This window comes from Homo sapiens, chromosome 10 (assembly GCF_000001405.40).
Source record: "Homo sapiens chromosome 10, GRCh38.p14 Primary Assembly".
Lineage (NCBI taxonomy): Eukaryota > Metazoa > Chordata > Mammalia > Primates > Hominidae > Homo > Homo sapiens.
This window is the reverse complement of record NC_000010.11, coordinates 73,644,886-73,665,005: the sequence shown is the minus strand read 5'-3', so window position 1 is coordinate 73,665,005 and position 20,120 is coordinate 73,644,886. Positions and strand designations below refer to the sequence as shown.

Here is a 20,120-nt window from a genome sequence, read left to right as displayed (position 1 = left end):
AGGAGCCTGCATTGGGGAGAGAGCCTCAGACCCCTGCCACAGGCCTGCACCCCAGAAGTAGGAGCATGGGAAGACCTCTCCTTGGCTCCTGGCCAGTGGAAGTAACATTCCCCAGCCCTCTGGCTCCAAGGCAGCCTCAAGTCCCAGTCACTCCTTGGCACACCCTACCGGTTGGTCAGAGCTCACTGCCAAAGGGCACCTCAGTGATGAGTGGAGGGAACAGGTGTTTATCAGGAGCTTGCATGCTTTGTCTCAGGGACGATTAGTGACACAGCCAGGAAGGCAGGCTATCCCCATTTTACAGATGAGGAAACGGAGGCTCAGGTTGGGCTGGTGACTAAGGGAAGCAGCATGTGGCAGGGGGCTTGAGGCACGTCTGTCCATCATGAGTAACTAGGGAGCAGCCCTGCCACTCCTCATGCGATGCACCAGGAGCCGGGGAAGCTGCTTTCTAGGGGATTCTAGCTAAGGCCAGAAGCATCTCCCTGAGTGGTGGTGGAGGCCTCTGTCTACTCCTCCAGGACTGCCAGGGGATAGGAGGGCACCGCTGACCTCACAGACACTCTTGGGTGAGTGAGCATCAGCTGAGCGACGCCTGGTGACTACGCTTCTGCCCAGTGCTGTGCCCCCCTCTGACTCGGGCAAGGCACCACCCTGAACACCCCACGCTGTCCCATGGAGGCCGCAAACTGCTCTGCAGAGCCAGGGTCTCCAGGAATGGGGAGGGCAGTCACCCTCACTCCACTTGTGTTCATGACCCAAAGGACTGCCTAGGTCTCCAGGCCCATAGAACCCCCAAACCTCTTACTAGGCCACACTGGGGACCTTGAGCAGCAGGCTTGGAATCCTAGGCCTTGTCTCCAGGTACATATCAGTACCCAGGCTTGGGAAGCTTTGGTCTCAGGGGGGCTGGCACTCAGGCCCTCTGCCTCAAGGAAGAGGCATGTCCAGATCTCTCCTGTCCAGCCCTGCTCCCTGCCCCTATCCTTCACGGGGTCCCTAGGACAGGGTTATAGAAGCTTCATGCTGTCAGGGGATGCTGCCACCCCAGTGCCAGGGTGGCTCCGCCCAGCCCCTTCCTGCTGCCGCCCTCGCTGACTCACCTGTCCAGCCTCCTACTGGGCTGGGGCGAGGGCTTGTTGCCCCAGAGCCTAGATAGGCACCAGAGGCAGCTATAAAAGCATGTTGGGCCAGTCCTCAGCCTCCTAGTTCACCACTGTCTGCTGCCACACGATGTTGGGAGGCCTGGGAAAGCTGGCTGCCGAGGGCCTGGCCCACCGCACCGAGAAGGCCACCGAGGGAGCCAGTGAGGACCTGGGGCTCCTTTCTACCTGGGCTGGGGGGATCTGGGGCAGACTGGGTCCATTGGAGGTGGATGTTACTAGGCAGGCGAGGACCTGCGGGGAGGCCTTGGCCCCTCAGGAACCCTGGTCTCCTGCTCTACCAAGTCAGCACGGAGTTGAGGGGTGCAGACCTGGGGAGGTCTCCTGGGGGCAGGGCATGAGTCCTGGTGCTGGGTGAACACTGGCAGCTTGGACCCTTCCCTCTGGAAATCTGGGGAGCCTTTCTTGTCAAAACAGCCTATTCTGAATAACTTATGCAGGAAAAGGAAGATGGATTTTTATTTTTACCATAACTTTAAAGCTTCAAAGATTTCTTAACAAGTCACCAAGTCTGTTCAAAGTCAAAAAGGGCATTTTCAATTTCATCCGAGTCCCCTAAAGCATTTTTATTTTTATTTTTATTTTTATTTGAAATGGAGTCTTGCTCTGGCACCCAGGCTGGAGTGTAGTGGTGCGATCTCGGCTCACTGTAACCTCTGCCTCCTCGGTTCAAGTGATTCTCATGCCTCAGCCTCCTGAGTGGCTGGGATTACAGGCACCCACCACCACGCCCGACTAATTTTTGTATTTTTAGCAGAGACGGGGTTTCGCCATGTTGGCCAGGCTGGTCTCAAACTCCTGACCTCAAGTGATTCATTCCTCTTGGCCTCCCAAAGTGCTGGGATTACAGGCGTGAACCACTGCACCTGGTCCCGAAGTGTATGTTGTATTCAGAGGTCAGCAGCTATGTGTGGGGAGGCCCAGCCAGGCGCCACTCATGGGTCATCGTGTGAAAAACAGTCTTGCCTGAGTTTGTGTCCTCTTTCTAAATGGCAGCAGACACGTATTTTGTTTGTGACTCTGCAGCTGGTGTGGACCACCTGCTTTAACATTTCACTAGCCTCTGAGTTTTGTATGATTCCTGTTGGGAGAAAAGCTGAGTGTTGGGAGAGAAGCTGAGGCAGGGCTTGCTAGACTTGCTGGCTCCTTGCTTCTAGCACTCCCATTCTCTCAAGTAGCCATATGTTTCTCATTCACTTGATACACCGTTTCCTTTCAACCGCCACATCCTCACCACCTGTTTCTTTGTTAGATCACCAATAACTAGCGTGGGCTCCCAGAACTCGGGGCCTTCGCAGCCTCCACACTCGCGATGGCGCCCCGCTCCCATTTTCTCTCTCAAACTGTCTCTTTCTCATTCCTTTGACTCCACTGGACTTGCCGCCCCCGCGACCTGGTGTTGGGTCTCATCACCCCAACAGATTCCCATTCTAAAGATGAGGGAACCAAGAGGTGGAAGGTACAGTTAGAATAAGAACCGTTTCTTCTGACTCTGAAATCTTTCAGTTCTAGCATGCTACCACCCACACTTTAAAAAACTCTGAAGTAGGCAGAGAATTCCCTTTTGTTGGAGGAATTGCTTTGAGAGACCTGGTTTTACTGGATGAGGCTTTGGAAACCAACCTGAGGCAGGCGCTAGCACATCCTGAGAGGGGTGTGACCTGGCACAGAGGCCCAGCCTGGGCTTCATGTCTCAGCTGGCAAGATGGCCTGCTCATTGCCATTCCAGGCCAGGCAGGGCCAAGGGGCTTCAGGGACCCATGCCCTCATGGGTGAAATGTGTACATCAAGCCCTGGATTTATTCCCATTTGGATGGAAACACTAGGCAAGGTATTTTCTTGTTGATATAAAACATTTTACATATTTATGGAGTACATTTGAGCATTTCTTACATGCACAGAATGTGTGGTGATCAATCAGGGTGTTTGTGGTGTCCATCACCTTGAATATTCGGTATTACTATGTGTTGGGTACATTTCAAGTCCCCTCTTCTAGCTACTTTGTTTTTTCTTTTTGTTTCTGTTTTGAGAGAGAGTCTTGCCCTGTCACCCAGGCTGGAGGGCAGTGGCGTGATCTCAGTTCACTGCAACCTCTGCCTTCCATGTTCAAGCAATTCTCCTGCCTCAGCCTCCCAAGTAGCTTGGACTACAAGCGCAGGCCACCACACCTGGCTAATTTTTTATTTTTTATTTTTCGTATTTTTAGTACAGACGGAGTTTCACCAAGTTATCTAGGCTGGTCTCGAACTCCTGACCTCAAGTAATCTATCTGCCTGCCTGGGCCTCCCAAAATGCTGAGATTATAGGCATGGGATACTGCCCCTAGCCTTCTAGCTACTTTGAAATATACAATACATTGCTGCTAACTATAGTCACCCTAGGTGAAGTATTTCGCAACAGAAACACTTTGCATTTCCCCCGCGTCTCCTCTGCTGAGGTGGACACTGGCACTGGGGTCTCTGCTGCTGGTTGGATAGGTCCCCATGATGAATCAGATGCTTCTCTCTCACACTAAGATCTTTCACGTCAGGAAGGGGCTCTTCTGGAAGAATAGTTAGTATCTGTGCTACATTTCCTAAAAAACTGTTTCCCCAGAAACTATATATAACTTTCAGGCACCTCAGTGCTTCAAGAACACACTAAAGAAGGACCCTCATTTGTCTTGCATGTTTTTGGTATTTTTCTTGAGATGTTCTTGCAGGACTCAGGGCAGATAACAGACCAGCTTGATGAAGAATTTAGCAAGGAAGGCCCCCACTGAGCTGCTTCCTGTTCTCACAGAGATCAGATAAGCATTTCTGCTGGACAGTTACAGAATCTGGTCAAGGAGAGACTGAGTCACTGCTCAATCATCCTAGAAGCCGCTGTTGATTTTTTTTTTTTTTTTTTTTGAGATGGAGTCTCGCTCTGTTGCCCAGGCTGGAGTGCAGTGGCATGATCTCAGGTCACTGCAAGCTCTGCCTCCCAGGTTTACGCCATTCTCCTGCCTCAGCCTTCCGAGTAGATGGGACTACAGGTGCCCACCACCACACCTGGCTAATTTTTTTTATTTTTTTTGTATTTTTAGTAGAGACGGGGTTTAACTGTGTTAGCCAGAAAGGTCTTGATCTCCTGACCTCGTGATCTGCCTGCCTCAGCCTCCCAAAGTACTGGGATTACAGGCGTGAGCCACCACACCCGGCCTTTTTTTTTTTTTTTTTTAAGACGGAGTCTCACTCTGTTGCCCAGGCAGGAGAGCAGTGGCATGGTCTCGGTTCACTGCAACCTCCACCTCCTGGGTTCAAACAATTCTCCTGCCTCAGCCTCCTGAGTAGCTGGGACTACAGGCACCTGCCACCACACCCAGCTAATTTTTTGTATTTTTAGTAGAGAGGGGGTTTCACCAGGATGGTCTCGATCTCCAGATCTCGTGATCCACCCGCCTCAGCCTCCCAAAGTGCTGGGATTACAGACGTGAGCCACCGCACCTGGCCCAGAATATTAATTGAGAGACTGATGTCAGGCCTAAGTGTTGATAGTGGGTAGTAGTGGGCAAGATGCCTGGCCCTCTCTCTTTCTTCTCATGAGCAAGTCAGTATCAGAGAGGTTAAACATATCTTTAGCATTTAACTTAAAATTTTTTTAATAAAAAAAGAAATAATTTGTAAAAATGTTGCATCCCCTTTTTCTCTTGCTGGAAGCCATTTGTTCTTAGAAGAAATGAGAAGAAAATGTGTTTTGCTTAAAAAATAAGTGAGCTGCTCACCCTTTCTCTGGATCTCATCTGGAATTGGCCTCACAGTTTGTGAACAGCCCAGAAATAGCCAATGTCTTAGCTTTGGAACGTTTGCCACTTTCCAGCTACAGCTGGACCTTGTATCCTGGTTTGGTTCCTGATGACTTTCAAATTCTCCTGATCCAAACGCAAGCTCAGAGGCACGAGCACATTGTTGGTGGCAGTACAGACTGAAACACCCTCTTTGGATGGCGGTTCCTCTCACAGGACTTTATTCTCCAGGTGTGCACAGGCACACACAGGTGCCCAAAGGATAAACACACAGATCTATTGTAGCATATTTGTATTATTGAGAGATTAGAAACATCCTAAAATGTTAATCAAATCACTTGGATGAAAAGTTTTGCTCTGCTTATTAGGTTTGGCATACAATATGGAGGTGACATCTATTACTTCCAGTGTATTATAGATACTTTAGCTCGAAAAATGAGACCTGTACCTAGATGGGCACCAAAAGGGACTGGTTAACAAATATTGCATATACAGGGGTTGCCCAGGCTGGAGTGCTGTGGCACTATCTTTGCTCACTGCAGCCTCCGTCTCCTGGGTTCAAGCGATTCACCTGCCTCAGCCACCCAAGTAGCTGGGATTACAAATGTGTGCCACCACACCTGACTAATTTTTGTATTTTTAGTAGAGACAGGGTCTTACCATGTTGGCCAGGCTGGTCTCAAACTCCTGGCCTCAAGTGATACGCCTGCCTTGGCTTCCCAAAGTGCTGGGATTACAGGCCTGAGCCACCATGCCCAGCTCGGTACCATAGTTTCTTGAGGATAGAGACTAATGTGTTGCAATTTATTGGTTTCTGTATCTGCACTCAGTGGTTCTCAACCTCGGTTGCATATTAGAATCATCTGTGGCGCTTTTTATTTTTATTTTTGAGACAGAGTTTTGCTCTTGTTGCCCAGGCTGGAGTGCAGTGGTGTGATCTCGGCTCACTGCAACCTCTCCCTCACGCGTTCAAGCGATTCTCCCAAGTAGCTGGGATTACAGGCATGCGCCACCACGCCTGGCTAATTTTTGTATTTTGAGTAGAGATGGAGTTTCACCATGTTGGCCAGGTTGGTCTCAAACTCCTGACCTAAGGTGATCCACCTGCCTTAGCCTCCCAAAGTGCTAGGATTACAGGCGTGAGCCACTGCACTCGGCCTTGTGGTGCTTTTTAAAATGCCACTACCAGGTACCAGACCAATAAAATCTGTCCCTAAGGATGAGATCTGGGTGTGTGTGTGTGTGTGTGTGTGTGTGTGTGTGTGTGTAAAACTTCATTGCATCATCATTTAATCCTATATGCTGATATGCTGTCTTTTTTTAGGGACTCAGTAGCTGTAAACGTTTTCTAGGTGATTTTAATATGTACTGAGGGTTAATTGAAATCCATTGGTATAGCACAATGGCTGACATGTAGCTAACACTCAATAAATGTTTGAATAGTGAATGAATAGATATTTAGATCCTCTTTTTTTTTTTTTTTTTTTTTGAGACAGAGTTTCGCTCTTGTTGCCCAGGCTGGAGTGCAATGGCGTGATCTCAGCTTACTGCTACCTCCACCTCCCAGGTTCAAGCGATTCTCCCGTCTCAGCCTCCCAAGTAGCTGACACTACAGGCACCCGCCACCATGCCCGGCTAATTTTTGTATTTTTAATAGAGACGGGGTTTCTCCATGTTGATCAGGCTGGTCTTGAACTCCTGACCTCAGGTGATCCACCCACCTTGGCCTCCCAATGTGCTGGGATTACAGGCGTGAGCCACCGAGCCTGGCCTAAATCCTCTTTTTACTGGTGAGGCCAAGTGACTGCCCTGCCTGAGGTCACACAGCTAGTAAGTTATTGAGGAACCCAAATTCAAGCTGGGTACGGTGGCTCATGCCTGTAATCCCAGCATTTTGGGAGGCCGAGGTGGGCGGATCACCTGAGGTCAGGAGTTCGAGACCAGCCTGGCCAAAATGGTGAAACCCCGTCTCTACTAAAAATACAAAAATTAGCCGGGCATGGTGGCGGGTGCCTGTAGTGTCAGCTACTTGGGAGGCTGAGACGGGAGAATCGCTTGAACCTGGGAGGTGGAGGTAGCAGTAAGCTGAGACCATGCCATTGCACTCCAGCCTGGGCAACAAGAGCGAAACTCGGTCTAAAAAAAAAAAAGGGGGTGGCCGGGTGCAGTGGCTTTCACCTGTAATCCCAGCACTTTGGGAAGCTGAGATGGGCGGATCACGAGGTCAGGAGTTTGAGACCAGCCTGGCCAACATGGCGAAACCCCGTCTCTACTAAAAATACAAAAAGCTAACTAAGTGTGGTGGCACATGCCTGTAGCCCCAGCTACTCAGGGGGCTGAGGCAGGAGAATTGTTTGAACCTGGGAAGCAGAGGTGGCAGTGAGCCAAGATCTCCATTGCACTCCAGCCTGGGCGACAGGGCGAGACTCCATCTCAAAAAAAAGAACCCAAGTTCAATTCTTCTGACCCCAAAATCCCAACTATTTTCTTCTTGGAGATCAGGTCTCCCTCTGTTGCCTCCAATGTTTTCTCCCCTTTTTCTTTTTTTTTTTTGGAGACAGGGTCTCACTATGTCACCCAGGCTACAGTGCAGTGGCAGGATCACGACTCACTGCAGCTTCGACCTCCAGGGCTCAAGCAACCCTCCCACGTCAATATCCCAAGTAGCTGGGACTATAGGAGCATGTGACCAGGCAGGCCTGGCTAAATTTTTTTGTATTTTTTTGTAGAAACAGGGTCTCACCATGTTATCCAGGCTGGTCTTGAACTCCTGGGCTCAAGCAATCCACCTGCCTCAGCCTCTCAAAGTGCTGGGATTATAGGCATGAGCCACTGCACCCAGCCCAAGTGTTTCTAGGACATAGAGGCATATGCCAAGGCAAACGGTATTTAGCATACACTAGGTGGGCAGCTATTTTATGAAACTCTGTAGCCTTTGATAATCACAGTTATAGCACCATAATGTTATGCCTTGTAACAGAGACATTCTCGTAATGGAAACCTAGAGACAAGTAGAGATTGTATTAACATGGGTTGGTATGTTTATGCACACCTACACACCTTTCCATGACCACGTATGTATTGCAATAGGTAATTTGTTTTTTTATAGTTTTTTGTTTGTTTGTTTGTTTTTTTTTTTTTTTTGAGACGGAGTCTCGCTCTGTCACCCAGGCTGGAGTGCAGTGGCACGACCTCGGCTCACCACAAGCTCTGCCTCGCGGGTTCACGCCATTCTCCTGCCTCAGCCTCCAGAGTAGCTGGGACTACAGGCGTCTGCCACCAAGCCCAGCTAATTTTTTGTATTTGTAGTAGAGACGGGGTTTCCTCGTGTTAGCCAGGATGGTCTCAATCTCCTGACCTCGTGATCCGCCCACCTTGGTCCCAAAGTGCTGGGTTTACAGGTGTGAGCCACCGTGCCCAGCCTATAGTTTTTTGGTTTTTTTTTTTAACTTTTTTTAATAATAAGAAAATAGAGATGGGGGGCCATCTCACGATGTTGCCCAGGCTGGTCTCAAATTCCTGGACTCAAGCAATCCACCCACCTTGGCCTCCCAAAGTGCTAGGATTACAGGCGTGAGCCACCATGCCTGGCCCACCATTTATTAATTAACAGATAAATTTATATAGCGAGAGTGCATTCTTTCCTGGGATCTTGGAGCAAGCCCAGCCATTCTTTGCCAGCTATGGAATTGAAGCCCCTGCTGCTGCCACTTTGAAAGGGTCTTTGGAGGAAAGCAGTTGAGATTAGCCCATGGTCCTATTAGAGAAGGCACAGTTCCTGAAAGGGTGTACATTGGTTATAGAGCCCAGAGAGTTTGTATTCTGAGTCCTGAATAAAAGGCCCATGCAGGAGAATTGGGAACATGGAGGGCAGAAGTTTGTACTATAATTAGCTCTAGGAGTAACACAGAAGGGGGAGGGAGGGGAGTACAAGCGGCATCTATTTTGAGCACATCTGCGATTGACGGGACATGTGTGCTGGACTGTAATGATCCCAGGGCCAAGTTGCCTGCCTGTGGTGTGTGGTGTGGGGGGGAGGCCTGGGGCAGCAGGAGCAGGACAGCCGGACAGGAAGCCCAGACGGGGTTCGAGCACCTCAACTTCTCTCCTGGGGACACTGTTCAAACTCCGGGGGCCATAGGCCAAGCTGAGCGATGGGTGCTGAGGAGGAGGTGCTGGTCACACTATCAGGGGGAGCCCCCTGGGGCTTCCGACTTCATGGGGGGGCCGAGCAGAGGAAACCGTTACAGGTGTCTAAGGTAAGGGAGAGCCCCTGAAATGAGGCTTCAGGGAAAGGGAACCCAAGGGATCCTGGGAAGAGATGTGTGGTGGCATATGGCGGGGGTTGGGGGGGTGGGAGGCTGTGAAGATGGGGTGGGTGGTGGGCAGGGAAGTATGCTCAAGTCTCATAGTGGGAGTAGCGTCTGACCACAGGCTTCCTGTGGGGGTCTATTAGAAAAGAGAATTCGCGGTTTCCAGGGAGCAGAGGAAAAGGAAAGGCTCTGCTTCAGTTCCCTGCAGCACTGTGGTATCAGAGGCCCAGCTCTGGTCATCCAGTGTTTGTTCTCTTGGGTATGTGCCTCTACTCCAAACTCCAGAAATACGGGGAAGGTTCTAATTTCTCTCTGACTAAACTGATATGTGATGAACTGAAACTGCCTCGAACAGCCTAGCCCAGCCCAGCCCTACCCTGCCTCACCCTGCCCTGCCCATGCCTTCAGTGCTCTTTCCCTAGGTCAGATCCTTTCTCTCACTAGGCAAGACTTTTTTAGGTGCTAGGAGGGTTATGGCAAGATCTGGCCTCACAGATGAAGTCATTATCCTTTTGGTTTCACCCTACAGGCTTAGTTTTCCGAACTGTAAAATGTGGGTAATAATAGTACCTGTACCTACTTCATGGAACCATTCTAAGGATTAAATGCAATAATACATGTAGCACAGTGCCCAACACTTAGTAAGAACTCAATAAATGGTAGCCACTACTACTATTATTACTTTGGCATATATACATTTGTGTGTATACATGGCACACATATACCCAAATAATCACAATCTCCCAGAATACCGCTGGACTCCCTCCAACCTGGAGTACTGTTCTAAAATCTTGACTGTGTAATGGCGCCTGGGGTTACAAGGCCTAGTAGAGAATTACCAGCCAATATAGATATTGCCCTTGGAGAAAAAGCTTGTGGAGATAATCACCATTTCTTTCCGTTTTTTTTCTTTTCTTTTTTTTTGCGACAGAGTCTTACTCTGTTGCCCAGGCTGGAGTGCAGTGACATGATGGCTCACTGCAACCTCTGCTTCCTGGGTTCAAGCAATTCTCCTGCCTCAGCCTCCCAAGTATCTGGGATTACAGGCGCACACCACCACGGCCAGCTGATTTTTGTACTTTTAGTAGAGACAGCGTTTCACCCATTGGCCAGGCTGGTCTCAAACTCCTGATCTCAAGTGATCCACCCACCTAGGCCTCCCAAAGCACTGGGCTTACAGGCGTGAGCCACTGCACCCAGCCAATAACCACCATTTCTAGTTACCTACCCCATGCAGTTCTTCCCAAGCCTCTTTCATTCAATGGTTACCCTATTTCCCACCATATGATGTATTTCTTTCTCCAGTCTGTATACTTTCTTCCCTCTAGACAGGCCACTTCAACTGCAGCCACTTCCATGCATCTCCCCACCCTTCTTACCCTGCAAAGTAAAATCCCCTCCTGTGGGTCCTTCCCATCTTTTCCTTTCATTCTATTCCCTTTGGAGCCCCCTCTTACCTACAGTGTCTCCTTCAACATCTCAGATTCGAAGACGGAGCCAGGCTGGCAGAGCAGGACTCCGAGAGAGGGACCAGCTCTTGGCAATCAATGGGGTCTCTTGCACCAACCTCTCCCATGCCAGTGCCATGAGCCTCATCGATGCCTCAGGAAATCAGCTTGTCCTCACTGTGCAGCGGTATGGACCTCTCTCCTCTTCTCTTCCCCTAATCCAGGGCTCCCATTGCCTGTCTCAGCTCTATGTCTCACTGGCCTGGCTTTAGCAACTAACAGGTACCTATTTCTGCTCGTGCGTTTCTGCTGGAGTGCAGATGGTTTGTGTCTGCCTCCCAGAGGGCTTGAATGTATCTGCAATTAAGGGATGGGGATGTCAGTGGGTATTTGACTGATGAGCCTACTTCAACCCCTGGCCTGTTTCCTCCTCATTACATCTTCCTCTAAGCCTATTTCCACTCACAGCCCTTCAAGCACATTTGCCTCCCAGTTTGTCTTCATATCTCCACTCTTCCCGGCCCACCCATTCCAACTGTATGACAGCCTTCTCTCTCCCTTACCTCTTCCCTCCCCCTTACCTCTTCCCTCCATCCCTTCCAGATCTCTCTAGCTGTCAGTACCCAGCCCATCTCTCAAGCTCTGTCATCTTTCCTATCCAGGTTAGCAGACGAGGGTCCTGTGCAATCTCCATCTCCCCATGAGCTTCAGGTGCTGTCACCCTTATCTCCACTAAGTCCTGAGCCCCCTGGTGCTCCAGTTCCTCAGCCTCTTCAGCCTGGGAGCCTTCGTTCACCTCCTGATAGTGAGGCTTACTACGGAGAGACTGACAGTGATGCTGATGGCCCTGCCACCCAGGAGAAGCCCCGTCGACCTCGCCGCCGAGGCCCCACAAGGCCCACCCCTCCGGGTGCCCCACCTGATGAGGTCTACCTGTCTGACAGCCCTGCAGAGCCAGCACCTACTATCCCTGGCCCTCCCAGCCAGGGTGACAGCCGTGTGAGCTCCCCGTCTTGGGAGGATGGGGCAGCCCTTCAGCCACCCCCAGCTGAGGCTCTGCTGTTACCCCATGGCCCCCTCCGACCTGGTCCTCATCTCATCCCTATGGTGGGGCCTGTTCCCCACCCAGTGGCAGAAGATCTTACTACCACCTACACCCAGAAGGCCAAGCAAGCCAGTGAGTGCCTGAACCCCTTTTCCCCAGCCAGGATCCTTCAATCTGAGCCTTAAATCCAGCCTTCTATAGCCGTACATTCTCCCTACCTTGGGACCCTTGGATACAGTCTTGGGGACAGGAGGGGTAATGAGTAGAAGGGGAGCATAATTATTCTCATGGCCACCATTATTTTTGCTGTTTGAACCAATGTGGCAAAAGGGTAAGGTGATTCAGTTCAACCCAGGAACAGGGTAAGTAGGGAAATTGGAAAGGGACACAAATAGATGAAGGGTTTGGTGGTGGTGATAATTGTTATTGTGTGTCATGATTGGGTGAAAGCAGAGTACAGACACAGGACAGGGGAGTATTTAAAAGCAGGTTGAAGGCGGGGCAAGGTGGCTCATACCTGTAATCCAAGCACTTTGGGAGGCTGAGGTGGGAGGATAGCATGAACGCAGGATTTTTGTTTTGTTTTGTTTTTTGTTTTTTTGAGATGGAGTTTGGCTCTTGTGCCTAGGCTGGAATGCAATGGCGTGATCTTGGCTCATTGCAACCTCCGCCTCCCGGGTTCAAGCGATTCTCCAGCCTCTGCCTCCCGAGTAGCTGGGATTATAGGCACCCGCCACCACACCTGGCTAATTTTTTGTATTTTTAGTAGAGATGGGGTTTCACCATACTGGTCAGGCTGGTCTCGAACTCCTGACCTCAGGTGATATGCCTACCTCGGCCTCCCAAAGTGCTGGGATTACAGGCGTGAGCCACCATGCCCGGCAGAAGCCAGGAGTTTGAGACCAGCCTGGACAACATCGTGAGACTTCGTCTCCAGTAAAAATTTTAAAATTAGCCAAACACTGTGGCACATGTCTATGGTCCCAGCTACTTGGGAGGCTGAGGCAAGAGGATTGCTTGAGCCTGAGAGGTTTGGGCTGCAGTGAGCCATGTTTGCGCCACTGCACTCCAGCGTGAGCAACAGACCAAGACCCTGTCTTAAAAATAAATAAATAAATAAATAATAAAAATTAATAAATAAAAGTGGGTCAAAGCTACAGGGGTTCTTTTTTTTTTCTGGTTTTTTTTTTTTTTTTTTTTTTTTGAGATAGAGTCTTGCACTGTCACCCGGGCTGGAGTGCAATCTTGGTTCACTGCACCCTCCACCTCCTGGGTTCAAGCAATTCTCCTGCCTCAGCCTCCCGAGTAGCTGGGATTACAGGTGCCCGCCACTACACCTGGCTAATTTTTTGTATTTTTAGTAGAGACGGCGTTTCACTATGTTGGCCAGGCTGGTCTCGAACTCCTGACCTTGTGATCCACCCGCCTCGGCCTCCCAAAGTGCTGGGATTGCAGGCGTGAGCCATTGGCCAAAGGATTCTTTATAGTATTAATAGCAGGCACCTTTGACATTTGCAAGTTCAGTTCGGATTCCTGGGGACTGAGAGGCTATGGGATGATCATGAGATCCCGAGGAAGTGGCAGAGGGAGGGAGCTTTGGCTCCTTATCTCAGGCAAGAATGTTGGCCTGGGCAGAAAAAGCCCATTCCACTTATCTCAGGCTTTGCTATTTTTGATGTGAGCTACAGAACAAGGTCTAAGGGTAAACGTTCTCCCTGCTCTATGCCTCCCGTGCTTTCCCACAGAGACCGTTCTTGTTACCTCCAAAATCTCATGATTCCCCCTCTAGTTATATTTCTTCCCTCTCCTCCACCATTTTGATTCCTGATCTATAGAACTTTGTGTCTCTCAGTTTGGAGTGGAGGCTAAGGACATGAGAGTTGAGAGTCTGACATCCCTGAGTGTCCAATATCCCAGGAATTCCAGATGCGTGCCTAGGATCCTATGCTTTCCTCAATTCTCCACTTATCTCCCCCTCCCTTCCCATAATGCTGGATGAGACTGTAGCTACTGGCTCAGAGATATTTTTAGTCAAGCAGACCTCATTGTCTACTGGGGTGGGGTTGGGGGAAGGGAAGGCAGGTGCCCACATCCATCACACCGGCACTTGTGGGGCAGCCCAGAGAAGGGAGAGGGCCAGGCTCCAAAAATAGCACAGTGAGCTCATTCAGCTGCCAGCTCTGGGGACAAGACAAAGGGGCTTTAAAAGGCGTGGGGGGTGGCTCAAGCTGGTCCTGCTCCAGCCAACACCGCCTTTCTCAGCATGGAGACCTTTGAGCCCATCAGCCAAGAGCCCCTCAGCCAAGCCAGCTATGACAAAGCCCCAGACCCAGTTCCTGAGCTCCAAGACTCGTTCTATGCAGGTACTACCCTCCCATATCTATGAGAGTCTGGGGTCTAGAATGGAGGGGAAGATGTCAATAGTTTAGGAAGGGTAGTCTTTGGGAAAGGTCTTACTCTCTTGTTCCTTTTTGCTGTCCTCTTCCTCCTTTTCTCAGGAGAGTTTCACTGCCCCTTTCTCAGTGATGCTGTGGTCACATGTCAAAGGGGTTTCTGACCACAAGAGCTGTAGAAAACTCATGGGAACAGAGCGTGTGTGAGTACATTATGAATACATGAAGGCATGTATGTGTGAGTCATGGGAGAAGATATGTGTGAACAAGAAAGTATCCATATATATCAAGAAAGTATAGTGTCAAGAAGACTTCAATAGTAATGGTTATAGTGGGCCTTCACACTGTGTTAAGTGCTAAATTTACTATATTATCTCAGTTAATCCTTATAGCAATCCTATGAGGTAGCCATTGTCTACCCTCATTTACAGATGAGGAAACCGAACTTTAATGAGGTGAGGTAACTATCCCAGAAACCAAAAACCTGAACTGAACTCTGACTCTAGGGCCTGTTGTCTCATCCATACCACTATTCTGTGGTATAAACACTGGGATGAGAGGAATGACAAAAATGAAAAAGTTCCATCTACTTTCCACTCAAGATACCACGCTCATTACAAAGGAGCTCATTACAAAGCTCATTACAAAGGAGCTCATTACAAAGGAGCATGGTACCTTGAGTGGAAAGTAGATGGAATCTCAATAATTTTTCAGGAGGAACTGGGGACCATGGACCAGAGAGTATCCATGTGCAAGGCGGGGTCCTCGCAGCAGGGTAGCCCTCCCATTTCCTGGCCCCACCTACCCAGGCCCCACATGGCATGGAAAGCCCTGCCCTGGTTCCCTTTAGCACATAGTCTTTGTGTGCCTGGCTGGCAGTGGCTGCCTGAGCTCTCTACGTAGAGACAGTTCTGACCCCTGAAGAAGCCCACCCCACTACCATCCCCAGCTTGGGGTAAATAATATATTTAGCTGGCGACCTTGAGGTATCCTAAAGATTTGGAGTGTTGCCTTGGAGAACAACACTCTAACTTTTCCTGCATCTTGGATGGAGACTACCCCTGACTGTGAGTAGCAGGGGTGTGAAGCCCAGAGGACTGCCCTGGCAGTTGGAAGGCCGAGATCAACTTTAACTTCTGTCTAAACTGTTAGTAACAGGGTCTCTGCAGGGAGGTCTCTGGGAAGAAGGGCCACCTAGAGCATGTAGGTGTGTGAATGTATTTGAGTGATGGTGTTTTGATGTGCACACATGTGTATTTACATAAGTGTATGTGAATGGAGCTGTATGTAAGCTGGGGTATATGTGAATGAGAGAGAAAAGTAAATAGGAGAAAGTACGCCTACAGTTGGCTTTCACTAGATGGATATTCTTGTTGAAGTGCTGTGTGGTGGGAGTTATTTCTGTGAATGTGTATGATGTGGATTGCATGAGGAGGGTGGAATTGTGAATGAAGATCCTCATTGCTAAGGGTTCTTTGTGCTCATATCATAGGGGTAAGGGGTAGTGGAGAGGATGAGTCCTAAGCTTCATGAGAAGCCTCCTAACATGGTCCCTATGATGGGTGGAAAGTGTTCCTTCTCATCTTTCCTCTCCCTGGGACCTGCTTATCTCCCTGTCTGCCACGGAGAGTGACACATCCTTCTCCTCCCCCTCCCATTGCCAGTCAGGAATGGGAGGCAGGTGAGGAATGTGTGTGGGGTGGATAAGAGCACATCTCTTGGAAGATAGGAGCAGAATAGCAGTAAAATGGGATGGAAGAGCTGTGGTCAGAGCAGTGTCAGGGCAGCCAACTGGACTCTGCCTTATCTTTAACTGTCCTTGGTTTCACCTTTCACCCTCCACTCTGCCCCTAAGTCAGAGGACTTTGTCACAGGGGACATTGTGGGTCGGGTCAGTGCAAGAGGGAGCTTGCTGGGATGGGGGGTGAAAGCCTTGGGGAACAGGACTAAAAGAGGCTGGGAAGCCCCCCTGACCATTTTACCTCTTGGCCTCCCCAGAACTGCAACGTGCAGAGAGCCTCCAAGAGAAGAGCATAAAAGAGGCCAAGACCAAATGCAGGACAATTGCATCCCTGCTCACTGCAGCCCCCAACCCCCACTCCAAAGGGGTACTTATGTTTAAGAAACGGCGGCAGAGAGCCAAGAAGTACACCCTGGTGAGCTTCGGGGCTGCTGCTGGGACAGGCGCTGAGGAGGAGGACGGCGTTCCCCCCACGAGTGAGTCCGAGCTGGACGAAGAAGCCTTCTCTGACGCCCGCAGCCTCACCAATCAATCTGACTGGGACAGTCCCTATCTGGACATGGAGCTTGCCAGGGCGGGCTCAAGAGCATCAGAGGGCCAGGGCTCTGGGCTGGGAGGGCAGCTGAGTGAGGTCTCTGGGCGAGGGGTGCAGCTCTTTGAACAGCAGCGCCAGCGCGCAGACTCCAGCACCCAGGAACTGGCACGGGTCGAACCAGCAGCCATGCTCAACGGGGAAGGCCTGCAGTCACCACCTCGGGCCCAGAGTGCTCCCCCAGAGGCAGCTGTGCTCCCACCCAGCCCCTTGCCGGCGCCTGTAGCCAGCCCCAGACCCTTCCAACCAGGTGGTGGAGCCCCGACCCCAGCTCCAAGCATCTTTAACCGGTCAGCCAGGCCCTTTACCCCGGGCCTACAAGGGCAGCGGCCAACTACCACCTCGGTTATTTTCCGGCCTTTAGCCCCCAAAAGGGCGAACGACAGCCTGGGGGGCCTCAGCCCCGCCCCACCCCCCTTCTTGTCTTCGCAGGGGCCCACCCCTCTGCCCAGCTTCACTTCAGGGGTTCCCAGCCACGCGCCAGTCTCTGGTTCCCCCAGCACCCCACGCTCCTCGGGCCCTGTGACAGCCACCAGCTCCCTGTACATCCCAGCCCCTAGTCGGCCTGTCACCCCAGGTGGAGCTCCAGAGCCCCCCGCTCCTCCTAGCGCAGCTGCCATGACCTCCACCGCTTCTATCTTCCTATCTGCGCCTTTGCGACCCTCTGCGCGCCCAGAGGCGCCTGCCCCAGGCCCAGGGGCTCCTGAGCCCCCCAGCGCTCGCGAGCAGCGCATCTCTGTGCCAGCTGCCCGCACGGGTATCCTGCAGGAGGCCCGGCGCCGGGGGACCCGGAAGCAGATGTTCCGGCCGGGAAAGGAGGAGACGAAGAACTCGCCCAACCCCGAGCTGCTATCGCTGGTACAGAACCTGGATGAAAAGCCTCGGGCCGGGGGTGCAGAATCTGGTCCTGAAGAAGATGCTCTGAGCCTCGGGGCTGAAGCCTGCAACTTCATGCAGCCAGTAGGGGCCAGGAGTTACAAGACCCTGCCTCACGTGACACCTAAGACCCCCCCTCCAATGGCTCCCAAGACCCCGCCCCCTATGACTCCTAAGACTCCACCCCCAGTGGCTCCTAAGCCCCCATCTCGAGGGCTCCTTGATGGGCTCGTGAATGGGGCAGCCTCTTCGGCTGGAATCCCTGAGCCACCAAGGCTGCAGGGCAGGGGTGGGGAGCTGTTTGCTAAGCGGCAGAGCCGTGCGGACAGGTATGTGGTGGAAGGTACACCTGGTCCTGGTCTTGGCCCTCGGCCTAGAAGTCCTTCTCCTACCCCGTCTCTGCCCCCTTCCTGGAAATATTCACCCAACATCCGTGCCCCGCCTCCTATTGCTTACAACCCACTGCTCTCTCCCTTTTTCCCCCAGGCGGCCCGAACTCTCCCTAAGGCCCAATCCCAGGGGCCTCGGGCAACACCCAAGCAGGGCATCAAGGCTCTAGATTTTATGCGGCATCAGCCCTATCAACTTAAAACTGCCATGTTCTGTTTTGATGAGGTTCCCCCGACTCCTGGCCCTATCGCCTCAGGGTCCCCCAAAACTGCCCGAGTCCAGGAGATTCGCCGGTTTTCCACTCCGGCACCCCAGCCCACTGCAGAACCCCTGGCTCCCACTGTGCTTGCCCCCCGAGCAGCCACTACACTGGATGAGCCCATCTGGAGAACAGAACTGGCCTCAGCCCCTGTTCCTAGCCCAGCCCCTCCTCCAGAGGCTCCCAGGGGCCTTGGGGCTTCTCCCAGCTCCTGCGGTTTCCAGGTAGCCAGGCCCCGATTTTCAGCCACCAGAACAGGATTGCAAGCTCATGTGTGGAGGCCTGGGGCAGGGCACCAGTGAACAGGCACAGGTCCCAGGACCAAGGAGAGGTGGAACATCCAGTTCCTAAAGTTGCTTCTCCTACCCTATCCCATCCCCTGTCACGCATCTGGAAGCTAAATTGCCTCCTGCCAGAGATGGTTTCCAAGTTGATGTCCCCTTCCCCCACCTTCCTCCTCACTCTCTACCTCCCTGCCGCTTTCCAACCAAGTATGTCTGCTTTGGTATCTTTGCCTCTCTTTGTCTCTGCATTTCCTTTCCTGGATCTCTGTCTTTATTTCCAGGCTTCTCCACCCATATTCCTCCACAGATCTCTCTTCCTTGACATTTGTGCTTTTCTCCCTGGGCCTCATTTTAATGTTCAGTGAGAAGTAAACAGAGCAGAAGTGACCACTGGGACTTCAGGCAAGAAGCTCACCACCAGGCACACAGCAAAGGGACTGAACTGACCCCTGTTTGCACTAAGCCACCCCCACCCCCCACTCTGCTTTCCCAAGCTTGACTGGCATATACCTAGGCCTGTGTGTGTGTGTGTGTGTGTGTGTGTGTGTGTGTGTGTGCTCTTCCGTCTAAGGCATGAATAAGAGGGGAGGTCAAAATAAAGACCCAATCTGAGGCCGGGCACGGTGGCTCACGCCGGTAATCCCAGCACTTTGGGAGGCCGAGGCGGGCGGATCACGAGGTCAGGAGATCGAGACCATCCTGGCTAACACGGTGAAACCCCATTTCCACTAAAAATACAAAAAATTAGCTGGGCGTGGTGGCGAGCGCCTGTAGTCCCAGCTACTCGGGAGGCTGAGGCAGGAGAATGGCATGAACCTGGAAGGCGGAGCTTGCAGTGAGCTGAGATTGCGCCACTGCACTCCAGCCTGGGCGACGGAGCGAGACTCTGTCTCAAAACAAACAAACAAACAAAAGACCCAATCTGAGTCTTATCGTTGTACTGATAGAAGGGTCAGATATCCCCACATGGAGTTGAGTGGGAGAAAGAGATTCACTAGAGAATAACTCCTTAGAGACCAATGTCTGTAGCAGGTGTACAGCATCTTGTGAAAGTTATGGAGCATGAAAAGACTGAAGGGCCAGGACAGTTTGCATGGGCTGAGTTATACCAGCTAGACCAGGAATAGAACAAAGAATTCTATACCTCAGGATTTCAAAAAGTTAGCAACTTGAGAGGCCAGTGCTGAGCAACCCAGTACCCAGGAAATGAAAAAAAGAAAGAAAATTCCCTCCGAGAATGAACAAATCATTGGCTTCATTGCCTCATGAGCTTGAGAGAAAGGAGAAGAGAGCCAGAGTGTGGCAAGTGAGGCCAAAATCAGAAGCATGGCAGAAATGAGTGTAAGTGATTGAGCCACAGACAGAAGTGTGGCGAGGGACAATGCCATATTGGGAGAAGGTAAAGTTGAGTAACAAGAAACCAACCGTGTGTGAGAGGGGGATTGGAAAAAAATTTGAGGGAGAAGAATGTTAGAATGGAAGGGAATGATGGTGGAAGGGAGGTGTGAGGGTGTGTGCTGAGTGTTGAAAGAACGGTTGGTGTCTGTGTGATTTTCCTTGAGTCTGTTCTTCAGTGTGTCTTCTGCAGCTTGCCATGACTGCCTGGGAAAGAGTAGGGAAATACCCAGAGCCAAAACCTCCTTTCAGTCCCACCCCATCCCTCAAAACCCCAGCTATTGCTTCTTTTCAGCTTCAGGTCCTGATCTCCAATCTTAGTATGGACTCCCTTCTCACCAAGACCACCACCAGCTACGTTTGCTGTGTAATCTGGAAAGTGATAATTTCCTTTGCTTGTTGGGTGTGAGTCACAATACTTTGGTTTGTGCACAAGAATAAATTTATGCCCCATA

General features: G+C 51.2%; 1 protein-coding gene and 1 long non-coding RNA gene across 4 annotated transcripts in view, besides 3 other annotated features; one reads left to right on the top strand and one right to left on the bottom strand.

The window, feature by feature from the left end:
• The window catches only part of SYNPO2L-AS1 (SYNPO2L antisense RNA 1), a 21,410-nt gene extending 10,443 nt beyond the window's left edge, over nucleotides 1-10,967 (bottom strand). For both annotated transcript variants that reach the window (NR_187519.1, NR_187518.1), the window contains exon 1: nucleotides 10,700-10,967. This is a non-coding gene — a long non-coding RNA (SYNPO2L antisense RNA 1). The remainder of the gene's footprint in view (nucleotides 1-10,699) is intronic.
• Nucleotides 8,741-9,035: a silencer, noted in NCBI's record as "tiled region #4994; HepG2 Repressive non-DNase unmatched - State 23:Low". NCBI's record gives its function as "represses a minimal TATA promoter and a strong SV40 promoter by Sharpr-MPRA in HepG2 cells {active_cell/tissue: HepG2}" and the evidence as "EXISTENCE:reporter gene assay evidence [ECO:0000049][PMID:27701403]".
• SYNPO2L (synaptopodin 2 like) lies at nucleotides 8,977-20,120 on the top strand. 2 transcript variants are annotated; one of them, NM_001114133.3, is made up of 4 exons: nucleotides 8,977-9,188; nucleotides 10,726-10,877; nucleotides 11,353-11,867; nucleotides 16,127-20,120. In NM_001114133.3, the coding sequence occupies exons 1-4, from the start codon at nucleotides 9,084-9,086 to the stop codon at nucleotides 18,286-18,288; spliced, it is 2,934 nt and encodes a 977-aa protein (NP_001107605.1). In that variant the 5' UTR covers nucleotides 8,977-9,083; the 3' UTR covers nucleotides 18,289-20,120. The 2 variants fall into 2 exon arrangements, with proteins under 2 accessions (NP_001107605.1, NP_079151.2); NM_024875.5 differs by lacking the exons at nucleotides 8,977-9,188; nucleotides 10,726-10,877; nucleotides 11,353-11,867 and adding an exon at nucleotides 13,966-14,098.
• Nucleotides 14,390-14,459: an enhancer, noted in NCBI's record as "active region_3567". NCBI's record gives its function as "activates an Ori minimal core promoter by ATAC-STARR-seq in GM12878 lymphoblastoid cells {active_cell/tissue: GM12878}" and the evidence as "EXISTENCE:reporter gene assay evidence [ECO:0000049][PMID:35858748]".
• Nucleotides 16,592-17,295: an enhancer, noted in NCBI's record as "H3K4me1 hESC enhancer chr10:75407469-75408172 (GRCh37/hg19 assembly coordinates)". NCBI's record gives its function as "activates a minimal SCP1, AML or CMV promoter by ChIP-STARR-seq in naive H9 embryonic stem cells {active_cell/tissue: H9 hESC(naive)}" and the evidence as "EXISTENCE:reporter gene assay evidence [ECO:0000049][PMID:30033119]".